The 22,534-nt window shown below is 35.5% G+C and overlaps 1 pseudogene, besides 1 other annotated feature; it reads right to left on the minus strand.

Moving 5' to 3' along the window:
- Positions 1-505: 505 nt before the first annotated feature.
- Positions 506-22,534, minus strand: part of LOC105378800 (endogenous retrovirus group K member 21 Gag polyprotein-like) — a 213,368-nt pseudogene continuing 191,339 nt past the window's right edge.
- Positions 9,258-9,421: a silencer, noted in NCBI's record as "fragment chr1:73603583-73603746 (GRCh37/hg19 assembly coordinates)". NCBI's record gives its function as "represses an EF-1alpha promoter that drives an FKBP-Casp9 reporter gene in an ReSE screen in K562 erythroleukemia cells {active_cell/tissue: K562}" and the evidence as "EXISTENCE:reporter gene assay evidence [ECO:0000049][PMID:32094911]".

Below are 22,534 nucleotides of genomic sequence, written 5' to 3' on the forward strand. Positions count from 1 at the left end.
CTGCAAGCTCCACCTCCCGGGTTCACGCCATTCTCCTGCCTCAGCCTCCCGAGTAGCTGGGACTACAGGTGCCCGCCACCCCACCGGGCTAATTTTTTGTATTTTTAGTAGAGACAGGGTTTCACCATGTTAGCCAGGATGGTCTCGATTTCCTGACCTCGTGATCCGCCCGTCTTGGCTTCCAAAGTGCTGGGATTACAGGCGTGAGCCACCGCACCTGGCAAGTTTACATTTTTTTCTAATAGGTTGCATTCAAAATTAAAAGAAAGAGGTAAGGAATATAAATAATTTCAATAAAATGTTTTTATCATAATATTTTTGGTCTTTGAAAATTATTTTAAGCAACTTTAACATTAAGAATAATAGATAAAATTGCCAAAATTGAGATTTTTTTCTTTTGAATATGAAAAGTTTTCAAGTGGAAAGGATCAGCCACACAGCTTGAGGTTCCAGTTCATTTTATGTTATTTAATGAGTCATATGTATTAGCTATTAACCACTTATATAACACAAAACTTTAGTTTTAAACTCAAAACAGAGTAAAAACTTACTGTAAGATAATTGATGATAGAAAATGGTAAGTATGCTGAATGCTACACAGAAACTTCTGTAACATATATTTTTCTCTTTTATTACTTCTCTGGTTGGTTACATGTGAAGGGGTGGGTTGCCCCTCCACACCTGTGGGTGTTTCTCGTTGGGTGGAACCAGAGACTTGGAAAAGAAAAAGACACAGAGACAAAGTATAGAGAAAGAAATAAGGGGACCCAGGGAACCAGCGTTCAGCATATTGAGGATCCCGCCAGCCTCTGAGTTCCCTTAGTATTTATTGATCATTTTTGGGTGTTTCTCAGAGAGGGGGATGTGGCAGGGTCATAGGATAATAGTGGAGAGAAGGTCAGCAGATAGACACCTGAACAAAGGTCTCTGCATCATAGACAAGGTAAAGAATCAAGTGCTGTGCTTTAGATATGCATACACATAAACATCTCAATGCCTTACAGAGCAGTATTGTTGCCCGCATGTCCCACCTCCAGCCCTAAGGCGGTTTTCCCCTATCTCAGTAGATGGAACATACAATCGAGTTTTATACTGGACATTCCATTGCCCAGGGATGGGCAGGAGACAGATGCCTTCCTCTTGTCTCAACTGCAAAGAGGCATGCCTTCCTCTTATACTAATCCTCCTCAGCACAGACCCTTTACGGGTGTCGGGCTGGGGGACGGTCAGGTCTTCCCCTTCCCACGAGGCCATATTTCAGACTATCACATGGGGAGAAACCTTGGACAATACCTGGCTTTCCTAGGCAGAGGTCCTTGTGGCCTTCCACAGTGTATTGTGTCTCTGGGTACTTGAGATTAGGGAGTGGTGATGACTCTTAAGGAGCATGCTGCCTTCAAGCATCTGTTTAACAAAGCACATCTTGCACAGCCCTTAATCCATTTAACCCTGAGTTGACACAGCACGTGTTTCAGAGAGCACGGGGTTGGGGGTAAGGTTATAGATTAACAGCATCTCAAGGCAGAAGAATTTGTCTTAGTACAGAACAAAATGGAGTCTCCTATGTCTACTTCTTTCTACACAGACATAGTAACAATCTGATCTCTCTTTCTTTTCCCCACAACATGAGTTGTTGATCTCCCAAAAGATGAAGAGACATTCTGCTTCATGAGGACCCCAAATGGAAACCTGAGGCAGTCACTGGTTCTTCACTGTTACCCATCATGGGATTTTGTGATCTACCATTGGGTAAAGTGGACCAGCCCGTGTGTTTGGGGAGAAAAATCTAAGAGTTGGGCTCTTTTCTACAGTTCATAATTTATGTCACTAGGAGAAAAGTAAAACATTTAGCCTCTCTAAATCTAATTTTTCAACTGTAGTAAAACATCATAATAATTCTGACTTCCTACGGTTATTGTAAGAATGTATCAAAAACTTGATTGAATTGCTAAAGTACTCTTTAAAGTAGGTACTTTTAATTTGTTTGTTTTCTTCTTTTTTACTCTCTTCATTCTCTCCTTTACCTTCTTTCCTAATCTATTTTCTTACCTTCTATGCTCATAGTTCTTCACTTCTTTCAGTTCTCTAGGAGTTAATAGATTACTTAGTTAAATCAGCACCATTCTCAGCCAATAAAGGCACTAGACTCTATATCAAAATTGAAGGTTAATTGTAGTATCTTAAATATTGTGCCTGAGTTTTTCCACACCTTTAAGGAATAAAATAAAGGCTTATCTCAGATACCTTTTCATCTGCCCTCATACTTACGGTATGTGTAAGTTCTTTCTTGGAATAATATATAGCATTCTCATACATTTTACAAATTCTCATGACTCTCTGATATGAAGAGTTTGCAGAATACAACTCTCTGGCCCTGAAATGTAGATAAAACAGTGTTGGCAATATGAGACAGCATTACTATAAACACACATAATGGCCCTTAAAAGGATATTCTCAGCCAACCCTGTCCAGTTAAACTTGCTATGTCAGAGATGTCTACACTGGGATTTGCTATGATAGCATATTACAAACCAATATGTTTTTTAAAAAAAATTGCTCCACAGGTGTGTACCTTAAATATAAAGTCTTTAGGTAATCATGACAATTCAGGGTTATGGGCCTACTGAAAAACTTTACTTTTTAAATGGAAAGTAAACTTAAAAAATTATGGAACGACCCTTTATTTCGACTTGTGCATAACAAGACAACAATAGACTCTGAGGCCAAGGAAGAAACCAAGTGATATTGTAGCAGTACATTGTCAGAAATAACTTTGGTCTCTGAGCTGCCAAATTGGCTTCAAATATTAACGCTATGAGTATACTCTGAATGTTGAGGATCTTCTGATACTTCTGAGAAATCACCTACAGAGACACTAACAGATGGGAAGTCTACAGTTTAACAATTTGAGCTAGTGAAAATTCCCTGAAGTCAAGGCTCAGGAGATTTCTTCCATTCAAATGTTGTTGTTGCTGTTGTTGCTTATATCTGTAGTGTCTCTCACATCAGAGTAAGTACATCAATTAAGAAAGAGAATATGAGGAGTATATAGATGAATATTTTTATTCCTGTTTTACATCATTCATTTTTGTGCTATTGACCTTATTAACAGTTTATTTTGATTGAATAATGAATAAAAATACAAGAAACATCTTCACCATAATGAAATGGCCGATAATGTTTCTTTGAACACTTTTCCAAATTTATTTTAATTCTCTTAATTCTCCATGTCATATGAAGTCCAATCACTTCACAATATCAGACCTTGCCAATGCAGTGAAATTTGTCCTCTGTGCCCCTATTCCTCATCTGTCATTCTTGATAGACTCAGATTTGTCTTTAGACTTTGTACTCATCTTTTATTCTTCATATTTAATGATGCATAAAAATTGTGCAATGAAACTCATTGTAGTTGTCATTTATCTATGTTCAATTCTTATTGTTATCTATTGGAAATACACATTTAAGTTACTCCATATCTACATACGTCTCTCCTCATTATTAACTTTTTTTGCCATCATCTTCTTTCCTTTGTTTGCTCATTTCTTCCTTTTCTATTCTTTGTTTTAAAAATCTACATTTGAAACTATTTGCACAAGATATTTTTTAATCACTGACATTCATTTACTGAACAGAATTTTGTAATAATAGACAATTTGCAGGTGCTATTCATGATACATTCTTTATATTAATCTTAAAGTACATTCTTTTGCAAGGATGAGTGGTCAGTACTCATCTTCTTCATACTAATGAACATAGTTGAAAGAAGGTCCTGTGTGCAACTGCAAAATAGATAGCAAATGCTCACCAAGGATTTCTTTTACAAGTTTCTCACTCCTGTAACATCAAAGCAAAGAAAAGTTGGGTGTGAAAAAAGCAGTCTCTAAGAAGAGAAGGAAAATGTCAGAGTGAGGTAGTTTTTTTTTTTTTCCCTACATTAATTACAAGAAAACTTTTAGGCAAGACTATTTGGGAAAAAAAATTGGAAAAACAAGGTCATATATGTCTTTCTTAATTTGCAAAGTGAGTTAGAGAATTGAGACAATTTTCTGGATAACCTAGGCCCAATCATAATTTCACTAGAAACTCATTAATGCGGCAAAATTGTATGTGAATGCATGTTTTCATCCTTGCTTGTTTTATCTGAACATTTCTTTCAAATCTCTTGAAGTAGGCATGAAAGAGGCATTTTAAGTTCATTTTCATGTAAACTGGGTGAACACTTACAGAGCTCAAGTTTGGCTTAGAGTTCATTTTTCTTGCCCTATACAGGAAAGTAGCTTTGTAGCCTTTGATTTTTATACCTCTAAGTTATCAGTTAATATTTTGCTTCTCCAAGGAGAGAGAAATTTTAACCACAAATAAGGGTCTTGAATTAATTTTGTACATTTCAAAGTGCTCACCACTTTTCCTGGATTTAATTATAATTATGTCAATTTGTTATATTTACTCTATAATTACAATAACTGCTCTGCATTTATTTATAGTACAGTTCAGAGAGGAGTTGAACAGGTTGTGTATACTGTATGTTAATGACACTTTAAGAGCACATAGAATCAGTGTGTATTTTCTCAGTGGAATTACACATTAGCAAACCTCTCAGGTGTGGAAACAAAGGTTAAAAATGTGTTCCTAAATTTGAATTATAAAATCAAATGTGAATACCGCACAGCATAAAAGGAAATCTGATTTGTAATATAGATGCTGTTTGTCTTGTTTTAGCAGATTCTTTTTCAGAGTGTAGTGTACCCTCTCTAACTCTTATTGTAGCACCAATACTTCTGTTACGTAACATTTAACAAACAGTAGTATTTGCTTCTTGGAAACAAAAGTATGGACAAATGCCTTGATATTATGGTCCACAGCTTCATTAGCATGTTGGGTAAAATGCAGCATTAAAGTGTAGATGAACACTGTTTAGATGGGTTGCTGAAATATTTTTTCCTTGTTTCTGTCAAAGTGTCTATCAATGAGATCATTAACCTTATTTTTAAAAAACCCTCAGAATTAGACTTATGTACTATGATAAAGACAAAGACTCCAGTTTTGATGTTTGATCTTTAACTATTTGCAAGATCCACGCTTCCCCTTTCCCTTTTACTTAACAACTGGATAAGCTGGTAAGAAAGCTGCAGACTTCCCCCCTCGGTGCTGGTGGAAGTTAAAAGCACACATATCCCGGCCTACGAGTGAACATTCCCCCTAGCCACACCTCCTAACTACAATTAAAATCAGAATCATCCTTCTCCCTTGATCTTCTTGTTTCACTCCAGACCAAACTTCAGCCCTTCTCCTCAGTAATTATTTAGATGTTTATTGTGTGAATAATAAACTTTATTCATTTTTATATCCATTAGTGCCTATGTGTCATTCATCCCAACTTACATATGAAGATTTTTAGTGGTGATTTCTGAGATTTTGGTGTACCCATCACCTGAGCAGTGTACACTGTACCCAATGTGTAGTCTTTTATTCTTCACCCCCCAATCCTTTCTCCCAAATCCCCAAAGTCCATTGTATCATTCTCATGTCTTTGCATCCTCATAGCTTAGCTCCAACTTGTGAGTAAGAACTGGTTTTCCATTCCGGAGTTACTTCACTTAGAATAATGGTCTCCAATTCCATCCAGGTTGCTTTGACGGCCATTATTTTGATCCTTTTTATGCCTGAATAGTATATAGTATTCCATGGTTATATATATATAATTTCTTTACCCACTCATAGATTGATGGGCATTTGGGCTGGATTCCATATTTTTGTAATTATGAATTGTGCTGCTATAAACATACATGTGTAAGTATCTTTGTCATATAATGACTTCTTTTCCAGTAGAATTGCTGGATCAAATGGTAGTTATACTTTTGGTTCTTTAAGGAAACTCCCTACTGCTTTCTATAGTAGTTATACTAGTTTACATTCCCACCAACAGTGTAAAATTGTTCCTTTTCCACCACATCCCTGCCAACATATATTATTTTTTAATTTTTTTCTTTATTATGGCCATTCTTGCAGGAGTGAGGTGGTATCACATTGTGGTTTTGATTTGAATTTCCCTGATCAATAGTGATGTTGAGCATTTTTTCATGTTTGTTGGTCATTTGTATATCTTCTTTTGAGAATTGTCTATACATGTCCTTAGTCCACTTTTTGATGGGATTGTTTGTTTTGTTTTTGCTGATTTGTTTGAGTTCCTTGTAGATTCTGGATGTAATATACTTCTAAGAATATCTAAATGTGCTGTTAATAACATATATAGCAATGCTCCTTAACATCTGAAAGATTTTATGGAGGCTTTAGCTCATAAAGCTACATGAGAAAAATAGTGCTTATTAGACATGCCTATCCAGAATTTCAAATCCTTTTATAAATCATTAGAAAATAAGGATGAAATGAATAAGCAATGTTGTCAAAATGATATGGCATTAGCAACTACAGTGATACTAATAAGAAAAGAGGATTAGAAAGACATTCGAAAACTAGCTCACAAAAGGAATAATAAAATGATTTCTATAAAAGGCTATTTTGAATACTGGCCATTTTTTCATGTTTATGTTTTATGGATGAATATAGATGTGATTGAATGTGATTGATGGGTCTTATGAGAGAGTAGAGGGATTTTAAAGTCCAAATATTTGGATGGATAGGTTTAGAATCAAGTAAAAATGAACCCAGGTGGTAAGAGAATAGCATGATATGAATAATAATTTATGAAAAAATGAATAAAATGATCTTTTTACTTTTTCTCTTTTAATTTGCACATTCCAAAACCTAGTAAATATTGTTGGGGCAGAACATTTAGGAAAGAAGCAAACTAAAATCTGTGGAGTGCCTATCATATGTTTTCATCTTACATAAATTTATTTCACTTAGGCCTCATAGCAATCTTATGAGGGGCGTAAAATATCTCCAAATGATAGCTTTAGTTCATGTGTCTCAAAGATATTCTTCATTTGTTGAGAAGAATGTTTTAAAATTTTGGAATCTAAATTATTTTGGGTGAGAAATTCTCTCTCAGTCAACCACAGATGAACTCTTCTCTTGATACCTTTGACCCCCACACCTGACTGATCCCCAAAAGCCTTTGTTATGATAGATATTAAGTATTTTGATATGAAGAACAGAAAATGGGGCTAAGAAATTTAAGCAACTTTCATACATTTGAAAAACTAGCACCTGGCATAGAAGGAATCCAGGCAAATAATTAAAGGTCCCTCTCTATGTTTATTTTCTTCTTTCTCAATCCCCATGCCCAACCTCATATATCCTCATCTTCACTCCTATAGTAAGAAGTATAATGTCCCTCCAATAATGCTCATATCCTAATCCTAGAAACTGTGAACATGTTATTTTACATGGTAAAGGAAAATTCAGTTTGCAGATGGAATTGAAGTTGCTAATCATTTGGCCTTAAAATAGCGATCCCGTATTATCCAGGTAGACCCAATTGAATTACATGTGTTTTTAAAAGTAGAGCACCTTTCCTGCTGGTTCAGAGATATGAGACAGAAGGAGGAGGAGAGATTTAATGTGAAAGGTGCTAGATCTGTACTAAGTATAATCAAAGATGGAGGAAGCCATCATGAGACAAGGAATGTGTGTGGCCTCTTAAAGCTGGGAGTGGCCCTTGGTTGACAGCCAGCAAGGACACAAAAATCTCAGGCCTACAACTGCCAGGAACTCAATCTTGCCACAACTCAAATGTGCAGAAAATGGATTATTCTCTAGATCCTGTAGAAATTGTAAGATTATAAATTTATGCTGTTTATGCCATGAAATTTGAGGTAATTTATTTAGGCAACAACAGCAAATTGCTGTAACCACAAAGGAAAAATGTTATCAATCTAATTTCATAGCATCATTTGGACCAATAGCTAGTAGGTGCCATCACTACATTAAAATATCACAAAGGGCTCTTGCTTTTACTATGTCAGTGTAGGAAGGGCTAAAATTCTCCCTGTGGCTGTTTTGTTCTTTCTCTCAGTTGTACTTGGGATCACTGCAGCTACAGCTGCAAACTGTGAAGTCGGTGACAAGTGAACCATGTTTTCTCTCTCTCTGATAATGGGGTGTATGTGTTTGTGTGGGTTTGCAAGACTACCACTCAGACAGGTGGTAGTGTGGGGACAAAGGTAGGCCCTGACATTTACAAGACCTAATGTTATTTAGACTTTATTAAGTAACATTTAGAAATAATGGTATACCTAGCTACCAAAGTTGTCTGCCTTTGGGTTGGGGGCCAATGCTATGATTAATAATAAAAATTTGTGTTTTTTCCCAACTAAAATTATTTGTTGTGTTCAACTTAGCTCTGGAAACTTATGGTTGCCTTGTCTCATGCAGATTTTGAATAATTCCAGGTTCTCTGTCTTCTAGCAGGTTTGAGCCTAGGACAGAAACCATTTATGTTTTACAATGTATTAACTAGCCCACCACCTGATCTAGTGCAATGTATTTTACAATGTATTAACTAGCCCACCACTGATCTAGTGCAAAGTTATCAAGTTGGATAATTACCACTAAGAGTTCAATGCCTAGCATATAATACAGCTATGTTGAATTAAGTGAGGTTCCACAGAAAATATAGGACATAAAGAAGATTTATTTCTAAGCTCTGCTGACACAGTGAGAACACTTGAATGCATTAACAAGAAAACATCTAAATCACACTTCCTAATAAAAATATGTCTTGATTTTATTTTATAGTTCCTATCCCAAAGCAAGTACCATTTTCTAATAAGAAAAAAGCAATTAACAATTTAACCTTAATATAATATTATACTAAGTGATTTTGTCGCTATAGGCAAAATATCTACTACTCTCAAGATAAAGGAAATCTGGAAAGGGCATGGTGCCGTTTTTCCCACCCTCTTAGGATCTGATATTATTTTAAATTCCATTAACAAAAGGAAGGCATTCCCTTTTGGTGGGACATGCTTCTGGAAGAACCTAAAGCTAGTTAACTGAAGGGGAAGATAGCCTATCTGGTCATATCTGTGGAGAGAAGGTGCAGGTGATTTTCTCCAGATGAGGTATTGTTTGTGCCTGAAGGTTCAGTAGCTTTTATAAAGACGGCTTTGTATTTCTGTGCTCTCGGTAAAATTATAGTAACTAAAATTGAAGTTCAGCTAGTAAAACACAATTACCCTTTTCAAATGCCACTGAATCCTCAGACAAATTTGAGGATGACACTGAGGTCCTCCTTTAATTAAGGGGGCAACACTCAAGGGACTCTTCTGAGCTCAGTGCCTCATGTGGTGTCAATCAACTCTGAGCTATAGAATTATGATTTCCTAATCATTTTTATAATAAACTTATTCAGGAATACTTGTGTACTGAATATTATATAATAAACTTATCATTTGGATAATAATCCAAATACTTCAATATATTTAGTATACTTCAGAAATACTTCAATGAACTGAATTTCCACTATGTGCCATGGAATAAAACTATTTATTATATTTATTGCCTTTCTACTATCTTACCAATCCAGTATTGTAGGCACTATCATTCCCATTTTCAGGGGAAGAAAAGTGAGACAAAGTGAGGTTCAGAGATTTAACTTTCAAGGTCATTACATGATACCTCAGTGTATCTCTACCTTTTGGTCTCCTCTACAATGTGAGATGTGTAATTCATTGTTTGTATTTTGTGATATTCTGAAAAAAGGAAACAAAATATATTCCTTTCAAATTTAGGTAATGTGGTTTCAAACCCAGGGGTGTCTATCAGTTAATCATATTATTTAATTTTTTATTTCAATAGGCTTTTGGGGAACAGGTGATGTTTGATTACATAAATAAGTTCTTTAGTGGTGATTTCTGAGATTTTGTTGTACCCATTATCTGAGCAAAGTACACTATACCCCATGTGTTGTCTTTTATCCTTCACCCCCCTCTCCCACTTTCCCCAAGTCCCCAAAGTCCACTTTTATGTCTTTGCATTCTCACAGCTGAGCTCCCACTTATGAGTGAGAACATATAATGTTTGGTTTTCCATTCAGAGTTACTTCACTTAGAAGAATGGTCTCCGATTCCACCCAGGTTGCCATTACCTTATTCCACGTGTGTGTGTGTGTGTGTGTGTGTGTGTGTATTCCATGTATATACATATATACACACACATATATATACATGGAATATATATATATACATATACATATATGTGTATATATATGTACAAACACACATATAATTCTATAATATAATATATATTATATTGGTATATATATATATAAAATTTCTTTACTCACTCATAGATTGATGGGCATTTGGGCGGGTTCCATATTTTGGCAATGGAGAATTGTGCTGCTATAAACATGCATGTCCAAGTATCTTTTTTATATAATGACTTCTTTCCTTCTGGGTAGATACCTAGCAGTGGAATTGCTGGATCAAATGGTAGCTCTATTTTTAGTACTTTACAAAATCTCCACACTGTTTTCAATAGGGTTGTACTGGTTTACATTCCCATCAGCAGTGTAAAAGTGTTCCCTTTTCACCACATGTACACCAACATCTATTTTTTTTTTATAGCCATTCTTGCAGGAGTGAGGTGCTATCACATTGTGGTTTTGATTTGCATTTCCCTGGTTATTAGCGATGTTGAACATTTTTTCATATGTTTGTTGGCCATTTGTATATCTTCTTTTGAGAATTGTTTATTCATGTCCTTAGCCCAATTTTTGATGGGATTGTTTTTGTTTTGCTGATTTGTTGGAGTTCCTTATAGATTCTAAACATTAGTCCTTTGTCAAATGTTTAGATTGCAAAGAGTTTCTTCCACTGCATGGGTTGTCTGTTTACTCTGCTGATTGTTTCTTCTACTGTGCAGAAGTTTTTTAGTTTAATTAAGTCCCATCTATTTATTTTTGTTTTTATTGTATTTGCTTTTGGGTTCTTGGTCTTGGTCATGAAGTCTTCACTTAAGCCAATGTCTTGAAGAGTTTTTCCAAAGTTATCTTCTAGAATTTTTATGGTTCCAGGCCTTAGAGTTGTCTTTGATTCATCTTGAGTTGATTTTTGTATGAGGTGAGAGATGAGGATCCAGTTTCATTCTTCTACATGTGGCTTGTCAATTATCCCAGCATAATTTGTTGAATAGGGTGTCTTTTCCCCACTTTACGTTTTTGTTTGCTCTGTCAAGGATCAATTGTCTGTAAGTATTTGGATTTATTTCTGGTTCCCTATTCTGTTCCATTGGTCCATGTGCCTATTTTTATACCAGTACCATGCTGTTTATACTAGTACCATGGATGGCCTTATAGTACACTTTGAAGTCAAGTAATATGATGCCTCCAGATTTGTTCTTTTTGCTAAGTCTTGCTTTGGCTATGTGGACTCTTTTTTGGTTCTATATGAATTTTAAGATTGTTTTTTCTAGGTCTCTGAAGAATTACGGTGGTATTTTGATGAGAATTGCATTGAATTTGTAGATTGCTTTTGACAATATGGTCATTTTCACAATATTAATTCTACCGACCCATGTGCATGGGATATGTTTCCATTTGTTTGTGTTGGCTATGATTTCTTTCAGCAGTGTTTTGTAGTTTTCCTTGCAGAGGTATTTCACCTCCTTGGTTGAGTATATTCCCAAATTTTGCACCTATTGTAAAAGGGGTTGAGTTATTGATTTGATTCTCACCTTGGTTGCTGTTTGTGTATAGCAGGGCTACTAATTTGTGTACATTAATTCTGTATCCTGAAACTGCTGAATTTATCAGTTCTAGGAGCTTTTTAGAGGAGTCTCTGGGGTTTTCTAGGTATGCGATTATATCATCAGCAAACAGTGACAGTTTGACTTCCTCTTTACTGATTTGAATGCCATTTATTTCTTTTTCTTGTCTGATGGTTCTGGTTAGGACTTCTAGTACTATGTTGAATAGAAGTGGCAACATGTGCGCATCCCTTGTCTTGTTCCTGTTCTGAGGGGGAATGCTTTCAACTTTTCCCTGTTAAGTATAGTGTTGGCTGTGGGTTTATTGTCACATGATAAACTCGATAGACACAGAAAAAAATTGACAAAATGCAGCATCCCTTTATGATTAAAACCCTCAGCAAAATTGACATAGAAGGGACGTACCTTAAGGTAATAAAAGCCATCTAGGACAAACCCACAGCCAACATTATACTTAACAGGGAAAAGTTGAAAGCACTCCCCCTCAGAACAAGAACAAGACAAGGATGCCCACTGTCGCCATTTTTATTCAACATAGTACTAGAAGTTCTAACCAGAGCCATCAGACAAGAGAAATAAATACATGGCATTCAAATCAGTAAAGAGGAAATCAAACTGTTGTGATTTGTTTTTAATTCTGTTTATGTAGTGTATCACAGTTATTGACTTGCATATGTTAAATCATCCCTGAATCCCTGGTATGAAACCCACTTGATCATGGTGGATTATCTTTTTGATATGTTGTTGGATTTGGTTAGCTAGTATTTTGTTAAGGATTTTTGCATCTATGTTTATCAGGAATGTTGGTCTGTAGTTTTTTGTTGTTGTTGTATCCTTTCCTGGTTTTGGTGTTAGGGTGATACTGGTTTAATAGAATGATTTAGGGAGGATTCCCTCTTTCTCTATCCAGTGGTACTATTTCTTCTTTGAATGTCTGAAAGAATTCAGCTGTGAATCCATCTGGTTCTGGACTTTTTATATTTTTTGGCAATTTTTAAATTATTATTTCAATCTCATTGCTTGTTATTAGTCTGTTCAGAGTTTCTATTCCTTCCTGGTTTAATCTAGGAGGGTTGTAGATTTCCAGGAATTTCTCCATCTCCTCTAGGTTTTCTAGTTTATGTGCATAAAGGTGTCCATATTAGCCTTGGATGATTATTTTTTTAAATTCCTGTGGTATGGTTATAATATCTCCCATTGTGTTTCTAATTGAGCTTATTTGGATCTTTTCTTTTCTTGGTTAATCTCACTAATGGTCTATCCACTTGATTTATCTTTTCAAAGAACCAGCTTTTTGTTTCATTTATCTTTTGTATTTTTTTGTTTGTTTGTTCCAATTTCACTTAGTTTGGTCTGATCTTTTGTTATTTCATTTCTCCTGCTGGGTTTGGGTTTGGTTTGTTCTTGTTTCTCTAGTACCTTGAGGTATCACCTTAGATTGTCCATTTGTGCTCTTTCAGACTTTTTGATGTAGACATTTAAGGCTATGAACTTTCCTCTTGGTACTGCCTTTGCTGTATTCCAGAGATTTTGATAGGTTGTGTCACTATTACCATTCAGTTCAAATAATTTTTTAATTTCCATCTTGATTTCATTGTTGACCAGAAGATAATTCAGGAGCAGGTTATTTAATTTCCTTAGCTTTGAGTTGATTTCCAATATTATTCTACTGTGGTCTGAGAGAGTACTTGATATAATTCCAATTTTCTTAAATTTATTGAGACTTGTTTTGTGGCCTATCATATGGTCTATCTTGGAGAACATTCTATGTGCTGATGAATAGAATGTATATTCTGCAGTTGTTGGGTAGAGTGTTCTGTAAAATATCTGTTAAGCCCATTTGTTCTAAGGTATAGTTTAAATCCATTATTTCTTTTTTGACTTTCTGTCTTGATGACCTGTCTAGTGCTGTCAGTGCAGTATTAAAGTCTCCCACTATTATTGTGTTGCTGTCTATCTCATTTCTAAGATTTAGTAGTAATTATTTTATTTTATAAATTTGAGATCTCCAGTGTTAGGTGCATATATATTTAGGATATTTTCCTGTTGGACAAGTCATTTATCATGATATAATGTCCCTCTTTGTCTTTTTTAACTGTTCCTGCTTAAAGGCTTTTTTGTCTGATATAAGAATAGCTACTTCTGCTTGCTTTAGGTGTTCATTTGCATGGAATAATGTTTTCTACCCCTTTACCTTAAGTTTATGTGAGTATGTGTCAGGTGAGTCTCTTGAAGACAACAGATACTTGGTTGGTGAATTCTTATTCATTTTGCCATTCTGTATCTTTTAAACGAAGTATTTAGGCCATTTACATTCAACATTAGTATTGAGATGTGAGGTACTCTTCTATTTATCATGCTATTTGTTGCTGAATACCTTGTGGTTTCTTTTTTTTTCATTGTGTTTTTGTTTTACAGATCCTGTGAGATTTATGATTTAAGAAGTTTAAATTTTGGTGTATTTTGAGGATTTGTTTCAAGATTTAGAGCTCCTGTTAGCAATTCTTGTAGTGCTGGCTTGGTAGTGGTGTATTCTCTCAGCATTTGTTTGTCTGGAAAAGACTGTATCTTTCCTTCATTCACGAAGCTTAGTGTCACTGTATACAAAATTCTCGTTTCATGCATCTGTGTGAAGAGACCACCTAAGCAGGCTTTCAGTGAGTAACAAGGCTCTTTGTTTTCACTTGGGTGCAAGTGGGCTGAGTCCAAAAAGAGAGTCAGCAAAGGGTGATAGGGATGGGGCAGTTTTACAGGATTTGGTTAGGTAGTGGAAAGTTACAGTTAAAGGTGGTTATCTCTTACAGGTGGGGTTGGGGGTCACAAGGTGCAGGGTGGGGAGATCATGAGACTCATTGTCCAGGGGAGCAATGTCCCAAGGTCAATTGATTAGTTACGGTGGGGCAGAAACAAATCACGATGGTGGATGTCATCAGTTAAGGCAGAAATTGGCTGTTTCATTTCTTTTGTGGTTCTTCAGTTGCTCCAGGCCATCTGGATATATACGTGCAGGTCACAAGGGTTATGATGGCTTAGCTTTGGCTCAGAGGCCTGACAATTCTTGGCTAATAATTGTTTTGTTTAAGGAAGCTAAAGATAGGGCCCAAATTGCTTCTAGCTTGTAAGGTTTCTGCTGAGAAATCTGCTGTTAATCTGATAGGTTTTCCTTTATAGGTTACCTGATGCTTCTGCCTCACAGCTCTTATTTCCGTCATCTTGACTTTAGATAACCTGATGACTATGTGCCTAGGTGATGATCTTTTGGTGATAAATTTCCCACATGTTCTTTGAGCTTCTTGTATTTGGATGTCTAGATCTCTAGCAAGGTCAAGGGAGTTTTCCTCAATTATTCCCTCAAATATGTTTTTCAAACTTTTAGATGTCTCTTCTTCCTCAGAAATATCAGTTGTTCTTAGGTTTGGTCATTTAACAGAATCCCACTCTTCTTGAGGTTTTGTTCATTTTTTAAATTGTTTTTTCTTTGTCTTGTTGGATTGAGTTAATCAGATCTGGGTATGTGTCTAGTTTTTTCTTATCATTTCTGAGTTTAAACTTCAGGGGATTTCCCTTCCACATTGGAGACAGGGAGGATCTCTTGTATGGGATTATTTGAAGAAAATATCCAGAAGGAAATTATCTTAGAGAATTTAAATTGATAATAAAAATACTACCATGAAGGTTCCCATGTTTTGGCAGTCACTCTCTCTCCACTTAGACTATATGAGTTGTCTCTGCTCTGTGTTCTGACAGTATTGTAATTTGCTATATGAAAATTATCTATGTACCTGCCAGTCCTCTTCCATAAGATTGAAAAATCTTGGTGGGCAGGTGCTGTGTGCTTCTTAACATTTAAGAAACATTAAGTGCTCAAAGATATTTTTTTGAAAGACAAAATTTGTTTCAGTGATACAAGGCCCTTATCCAACATGAGCCCATTTCTAATATTTCTCAGCAATGAAGGATTCAAAGGTCTTAACACCAACTCTGTGAAATAAAATGAATCTACTTTATATCCCCTGTCTTTCTTTCCCTCACTTTGTAATGTCAGGGTAATGTTCTTTAATTAGTCTCTCTATTCCCAGGATATCAATATGTAAATGCATTGTGTTTCACACTTAAATAGAAGTAGCAGATGTCAAGGGCTTGTGCTTATCAGTACATTACAGTGTTTGTTCCAGCCTCTGTCATACTTTCTCTGATGCCTTTGACAATACTGTACCTATAAATATGCTTTCCACTTCCCTTTTTCTGGTGACCTGGCCCCTCTGCCTCTCTCTGATACTGACTCTCCCAGTGTTTTCCTTGTTTAATCTCTAATGAGTGTGGCCATGACTACAATGTTAAAACATTGGATAACAGTGGGTAGGTCACCTGGGCTTGACATTTTTGATGGAAAAAAAAAAATGATGGTATATAGGAAAAAGAAAGGAAAAGGTGGATAAACACTTAAGATAGAAGACCAAAGATGTAGAACAAAGAGAAGAGTCAAATCTAGGGTCTCTAAAAATAGTCATGAATCTGAAAACCCAAATATAGCAATTATTTAAGTAAGTAAAGTCAGTTTTCCATACTTTTATTTTCCTAAGACCATCAAAGTATATATGTGATAAAAATCCCTATAAACTGTCTTTTTTGTTTCCCTCATTTAACTAGTTTATATGTACACCTGTTTTATTTGATACTGATATTGATTTTGTTCCTGGTTAGTTTTATATAGACATTACACCTGTATGTTCCTAAAGGAAAAATTTATTATAGCAATTGAAATGTATAATTTGATAGAAAACATAAACAGAGCAAATAATTAGCTGATTTACAACTTGCTTTAGATAACATCTTCAATTATTAAAATAATTAGTGAAATTGAATTTGAGATAAAAACCTTAGCTTAATTTGAACTTGTCCTTGAAGCTACTTTCTGACCCATTTTAACATATTACCTGTTGAAATATTCATAAGAAAAAGGAAATTTTAGGCTTTGTGTTTAAGGTGACTTTTTTTCAGTTCACTTCCAATTTTTTTTTTAATTCCCTTCTCTCTTATATTCCTTTACCTAGATAAAAAGTTCTTGAACACAGAAATACAAATTACTTTGGTTCATTTTTTTTTTTTTTGAGTCTGTGTCCTTTAGTGAAAGACTTGAAGGCCTCAGTGTATCCCTACCTTTTGGTATCCTCTACAGTGTGAGAGATGTGTAATTCATTGTTTGTATTTTGTGATATTCTGAAAAAAGTAAACAAAATATATTCACTTCAAATTTAGGTAATGTGGCTTGCTTTGAAATACAAACAACACTCTCTATAAGATAAAAGACAATGAACATTAAAGACAATGTGATTACTATCTGAAATGCTGTCCAAATTGCTTCTGTTTCTTAAAATGAGCTTTGACCATGAATTTGGGGTTTTATATAATAGAAATACATACTGACTTATGGCATAAATATATATATTCATAGTGGGAATATTTGTCTTCTTTATGAAAGGCAATTTAATACAATTATATGGGTTAAAATAAAAGGAGGACAAAATTGTATTTTTTCTTTTCTCTCACAAAATCATGCTTTTATCTAGGAAAAATTTGTAGGTGCTTCTGTGATCATCATAAACTTGCTTACTGTATAATAAAAAGTTATGTAAGATAAATGTGTTGAGTGTAGAATATTTCTTACTATGCACTCTTTAAAAGGCGTAGGCCTGAGCCTATGGAGTTTAGATGAGATTTCTTATCATTTGATAATGGACAGTTTGTATTTCTTTGTGCAATAACCTTGTAGAAACTCTGATGTTCCTATTAGTATAAAATTCTGTGATTTTTTTCATAAGAACATACACATTACTCTGCAGAGTTACCTTTTATTTTTTAACTGGATTTCATAATCTGAATCCAACTAAGTCCCATCAACAGAGTCACTAGAGGTCAAGGTTATATTCCTAACAGAGATCACAGGATCATGTTTAAACAAGACTCTTGTATCCCCATGCCTTCCAGAAAAATACTTATCTTTCTAAAACGTATGTGTGTTTTCATCCAGCAATACCTACAGGATATTTGAAGCAAACTAGGTAAGTGGAAATACATTCTGACATGCTACAATTGTATCAGAGTTTTAAATTTAGGTCAATTTAACATATTTACTAGGTTTTTTTCTATGCTAAATATTCCATGCCAAGAAGAGGGTATAGACAGCTCTCTAGAACAGGGCTCCCCAAACCCCCATGCCACAGACTGGTACTGGATGATGTGGTACTGGATGATGTGGTACTGGTTGATGTGGTACTGGACGATGGCCTGTTGGGAACCAGGTTGCACGGCAGGAGAGTAGCAGTGAGGAAGTAAAGCTTCCTCTGTATTTACAGCTGCTCCTCATCACTTGAATTACTGTCTGAGCTCTGCCTCCTGTCAGATTAGCAGCAGGATTAGATTCTCATAGGAGAGCAAACCCTATTGTGAACTGCACATGGGAGGGATCTAGGTTGCCTGCTTCTTATGAGAATCTAATGCCTGATGATCTGCCACTCTCTCCCATCACTCCCAGATGGGAACTTCTAATTCCAGGAAAACAAGTTCAAAGTTCTCACTGATTCTACATCATGGTGAGTTGTATTACAATAATGAAATAGTTATACAACTCATTTATTGTACACTTTATTTCTATTATTATATATTACAATTTAATAATAATAGAAATGAAGTGCACAATAAATGTAATGCTCTTGAATCATCCTGAAACCATCCCTACTGCCCCTTGGTCTGTGGAAAAATTGTCTTCCACAAAACCTGTCCCTAGTGCCAAAAAGGTTGGGGACCACTGCTCTAGAACACAATCTTGACACTCCTTAAAACTCAGTCTAGTAGGGTATATATGTAAGCAGATTATATCACACGAAGATAAAATCTATAATACAAGGTCATAGAATCTATTTTCTAAATCCAGCATGGGATCTGTTTTAAGTGCAGAAGTTAACCAATAAATGGAATGAAAATACCTGATATTTCTTCAAAACCCTGCTTCTTTGAATAACAGTATTTTTTTCTTTTACTTACTATGGGATCTCTTTAAGAAGCTCTATCTGGCTAGGGCAAGCACATACTAGAAAGAATTCATAAAAATTCGCTGGTCCTCTTCCCCATTCCTTCTGGATCTCCCATGGCTCTATTTGCCCCTTTAAATAATTTGGACATACTTTTCTGACTTCACTCTTGGCCCATAGTCTTATGAAAAATTTTGCCATTCCTAGTTCTTTGTATTACACATGTAGATAAAAACTCTTTCTGCCTTCTCCTCCACATATTGCAGAATACGTGGGAGGAAGAAATAATCTCAGCGATGTGTTGGTATGTATTAAACATCCAGCTCTCTGGGAAAATGAAACAAACAGGCAGCAAACAAACCTGTGTTGTAGCCTTTGTTGATATTCATGGTATAAAAACTTTCACTATGGCTTCTATCAAGCTACTGGCATGTCACTAAACATGTTAGGAAGTTCTCAATTCTCAAGATCCAGAAAGCCAGCTCTACTACATAACTGAATATTCCCTTCATGAGATAATTGTGACACGGTTCTTAAATATTAGGTATCAAGTACATAACTGAAGACTAACAATTTGTGACAGATCATGAAAATTAAAAAGGTATCTGCTACAGTAAAAGAAGAAATAAAGCCAGTCACAGAAAAAGAAACAACAGCCCCTGGGCAATGCATGAATGATAGAATTCAGAATCAAACACAAGAGAGCGGTTACTTTGATTTCACCTGAAGACTATTAAGCTGTATTACCACTGTGTCTCATATAAAATTTGCTTGTCAAATGTAACAGATATTGTGAGCATTACAACCATTTACCAATATCTTCTTTTTCCTCTTTTTCGAGGTATTCTGTAGGATGCTACTTATAGTCTCTTCTGAGGTTAAGTGTGGCTTCATATCATTCTTAGGCCAATAAGATTCAAATAAAAGTGGCATGTGTCACATTCAGGTGGAAAGTTTTAAGGGCAAATATTTGCCTTTCCACTTCTTACCCTGCTGTGAAGATGGTAGGGCATAGTGTTGATATGACAGGGCCATGGGGAATCTGGTCCAACACATAGACAGCAGGGCGTCCCTGGACAGTAGCCTGAACATGCAGCACAAGGTTCCTCAGTCAAAAGTAAACATTTAAAAATATGTTAAGCCGGCCGGGCATGGTGGCTTATGCCTGTAATCCCAGTACTTTGGGAGGCCGAGGCGGGCGGATCACGAGGTCAGGAGATTGAGACCATCCTGGCTAACACGGTGAAACCCCGTCTCTACTAAAAATACCAAAAATTAGCTGGGCGTGGTGGCAGGTGCCTGTGGTCCCAGCTACTCTGGAGGCTGAGGCAGGAGAATGGGCGTGAACCCGGGAGGCGGAGCTTGCAGTGAGCAGAGATTGCGCCACTGCACTCCAGCCTGGGCAACAGAGTGAGACTCTGTCTCAAAAATAAATAAATAAATAAATAAATATAAAAATATGTTAAGCCAACGACATTTTGTGTATTTATTACCTCAGCCCACCTGTACTGTCCTAGCTAAAAACATATACGTGCCTAAATTCAGTAATAGTAGTGGGCTGATAGTTCTTGCTCCACAGTATAGGTTCAACCTCTGATAAATTTCTTGCTGAATTTATAAAATCTTGAATTAAAGGGGTCATTCAAAAAGTACATATCAAATGATTCTCCATGATTTCCCCCAGGAAGCTGGCACTGGAGTTTTGGAAAGTGGCAATTCTCACTTCTATCTTGATAGAAATTTTAATGTGGGTAGATTATAGGTGACTTTTACTTTATAGTATAAATCCTCCTCTATTTTTAAAGTCCACATTCAAGACCCAAGTAAACCTTGCATGAATGTTGCATTTACAGTGTGGAAAATATCTAAGAAGTATCCATAAGAAATATTTTCGTTTTGGCTTATCACTGCCCCAAAAATTGCTGCTTGGTAATAAGGAAGCTACATGTTTTACTCTTATCTTTTTAACATGAGCAGCCCAGTTAGAGAAGAATAATTGTGTCTATTTTCTAAAGAGCTGGGGAAAAAAAAATCAAACTAAATTCACCTGATTTCCCAGTGTTGGCACTTCTAATAATTTATCAAATTAGAAGCCCAAATTCAAAATGGTTCCCAGGTGAGTCTGATCTTGTCCTCTCTCTCCTTTATTGGAAAACACTGGATTCAGAATATGGCTATCTTCTCTCTATGACTCCCAATCACACTATAAGGTAGTTAAACTCTCAAACTTATGGCATTTTCATCAAAAATGTAAACAATGCCTATATCCTTATGGCATCATAATAGTAAATTAAAATAGGTATTTAAAATGCTTGGCATATGTGTATTTTTCTAAATAATTCTTATTGAGAGTATAAAAGCTATTCCAGCTTTTTTAAAATTTGGTAAAACAAATTATTTTTACCTTATTCAAAATGTCTATAATTTTATATATTTGAATTATGTGGTGTCACAGTTTTAGCCTTTTCATGAAGAGTGTCCAATCTTCAATCTACACTGCACTGTGCCTAGTACTTGCACATTTTCAATTTTACATTAATAATTATTATCTCATTTCATTGTAACATAGCCGTGTAAATTTATTTGCAAAAGTCATTCAGAATTAATTGATAAGAAAATTGAGATTTAGGGATATTACCTGGTGGCTCAAAGGTCACAATAATATACTCAAGGTTTCCTGCTTCTTAGTTCATTGTTCTTCCGACTAAGTCCATAGTGACTACCAGATAATGCTCAGATAAATAAAGGATGTTTATACAAAACGTCTCTCACCACTAAATCTAAGAATATCTAGTACTAAACAACAACTACATTTTTATTAGTAGAAGTGATGTCAACCATGGTGCCTTGAATCAGCCTGAAAATGTCACAGCCACAAAAAAAAAGGAGAGTAGACAAATCTTTCTTTGGTGACAAAAACTGCATTTTTTTGTGTTGAACTTTTTTTCTCAGCTTTGCTGAAAGGACCAACTACAAGTTGCAAAATCTAGGTTTTTTTTTTACTATTTTTATGTTAATTCTGTTATTTCTGATGGCTTTTGACATTTGATGGCCATAGACTGTGATAATTTGCTGCCAAGATGTTACAATATATTGTGCCTAGTCTGTGTCCTACTGAAGAAAAAATATATATATATACACACACACACACATAATACTTTGAGCAGGATACAGGATACAGATTATATATATATATATATATATATATATATATATATATATATATATACACACACACACATATATCTATATAGTATATACACACATTATTGATATATGTGTATGTATATGAATAAAATTATGAAGTGATTGATTGTAAAGGCAGGTGCTCAAATACCATCTTCTCTGTGAGAGTCCCTGATTTACTCTGTTCCCACAGAGAGTAGAAAGTGCACCTCATTTCTACTGCTTTAGCACCTCACACATGTCTCTGTTAGAGCACTTTGCAACTTGCACTTGAATTGTCTTGCTGCATAACTGCCCTTCCCAATTATCTCGTGCTGCCTGGAGGGCATGGAGTGTCTATAACTTTTTAATCACCATTTAATATTGACCTTGGCCCATATTGATGTTAATGTCCATTATTTAAGAGTAGAATGAATAATTACCAAAGATTTGGGATCAGGAGAAATAGGACCTACAAACGATATACTCTCCTTTCTTCATGTTTCATGCTCATCCCGGCTGTGCAAATATTAAATCCCAGTGAACTTCTAATACATGCTCCTATTTTAAAACTCATGAACACTTGCTTGCCTATGTGACCCTTTCAGTCAAAATTCAGCTTCCATAAAGATGATGTTCAGTCCCATACCCAGAAAACATTT

This window comes from Homo sapiens, chromosome 1 (genome assembly GCF_000001405.40).
Source record: "Homo sapiens chromosome 1, GRCh38.p14 Primary Assembly".
Lineage (NCBI taxonomy): Eukaryota > Metazoa > Chordata > Mammalia > Primates > Hominidae > Homo > Homo sapiens.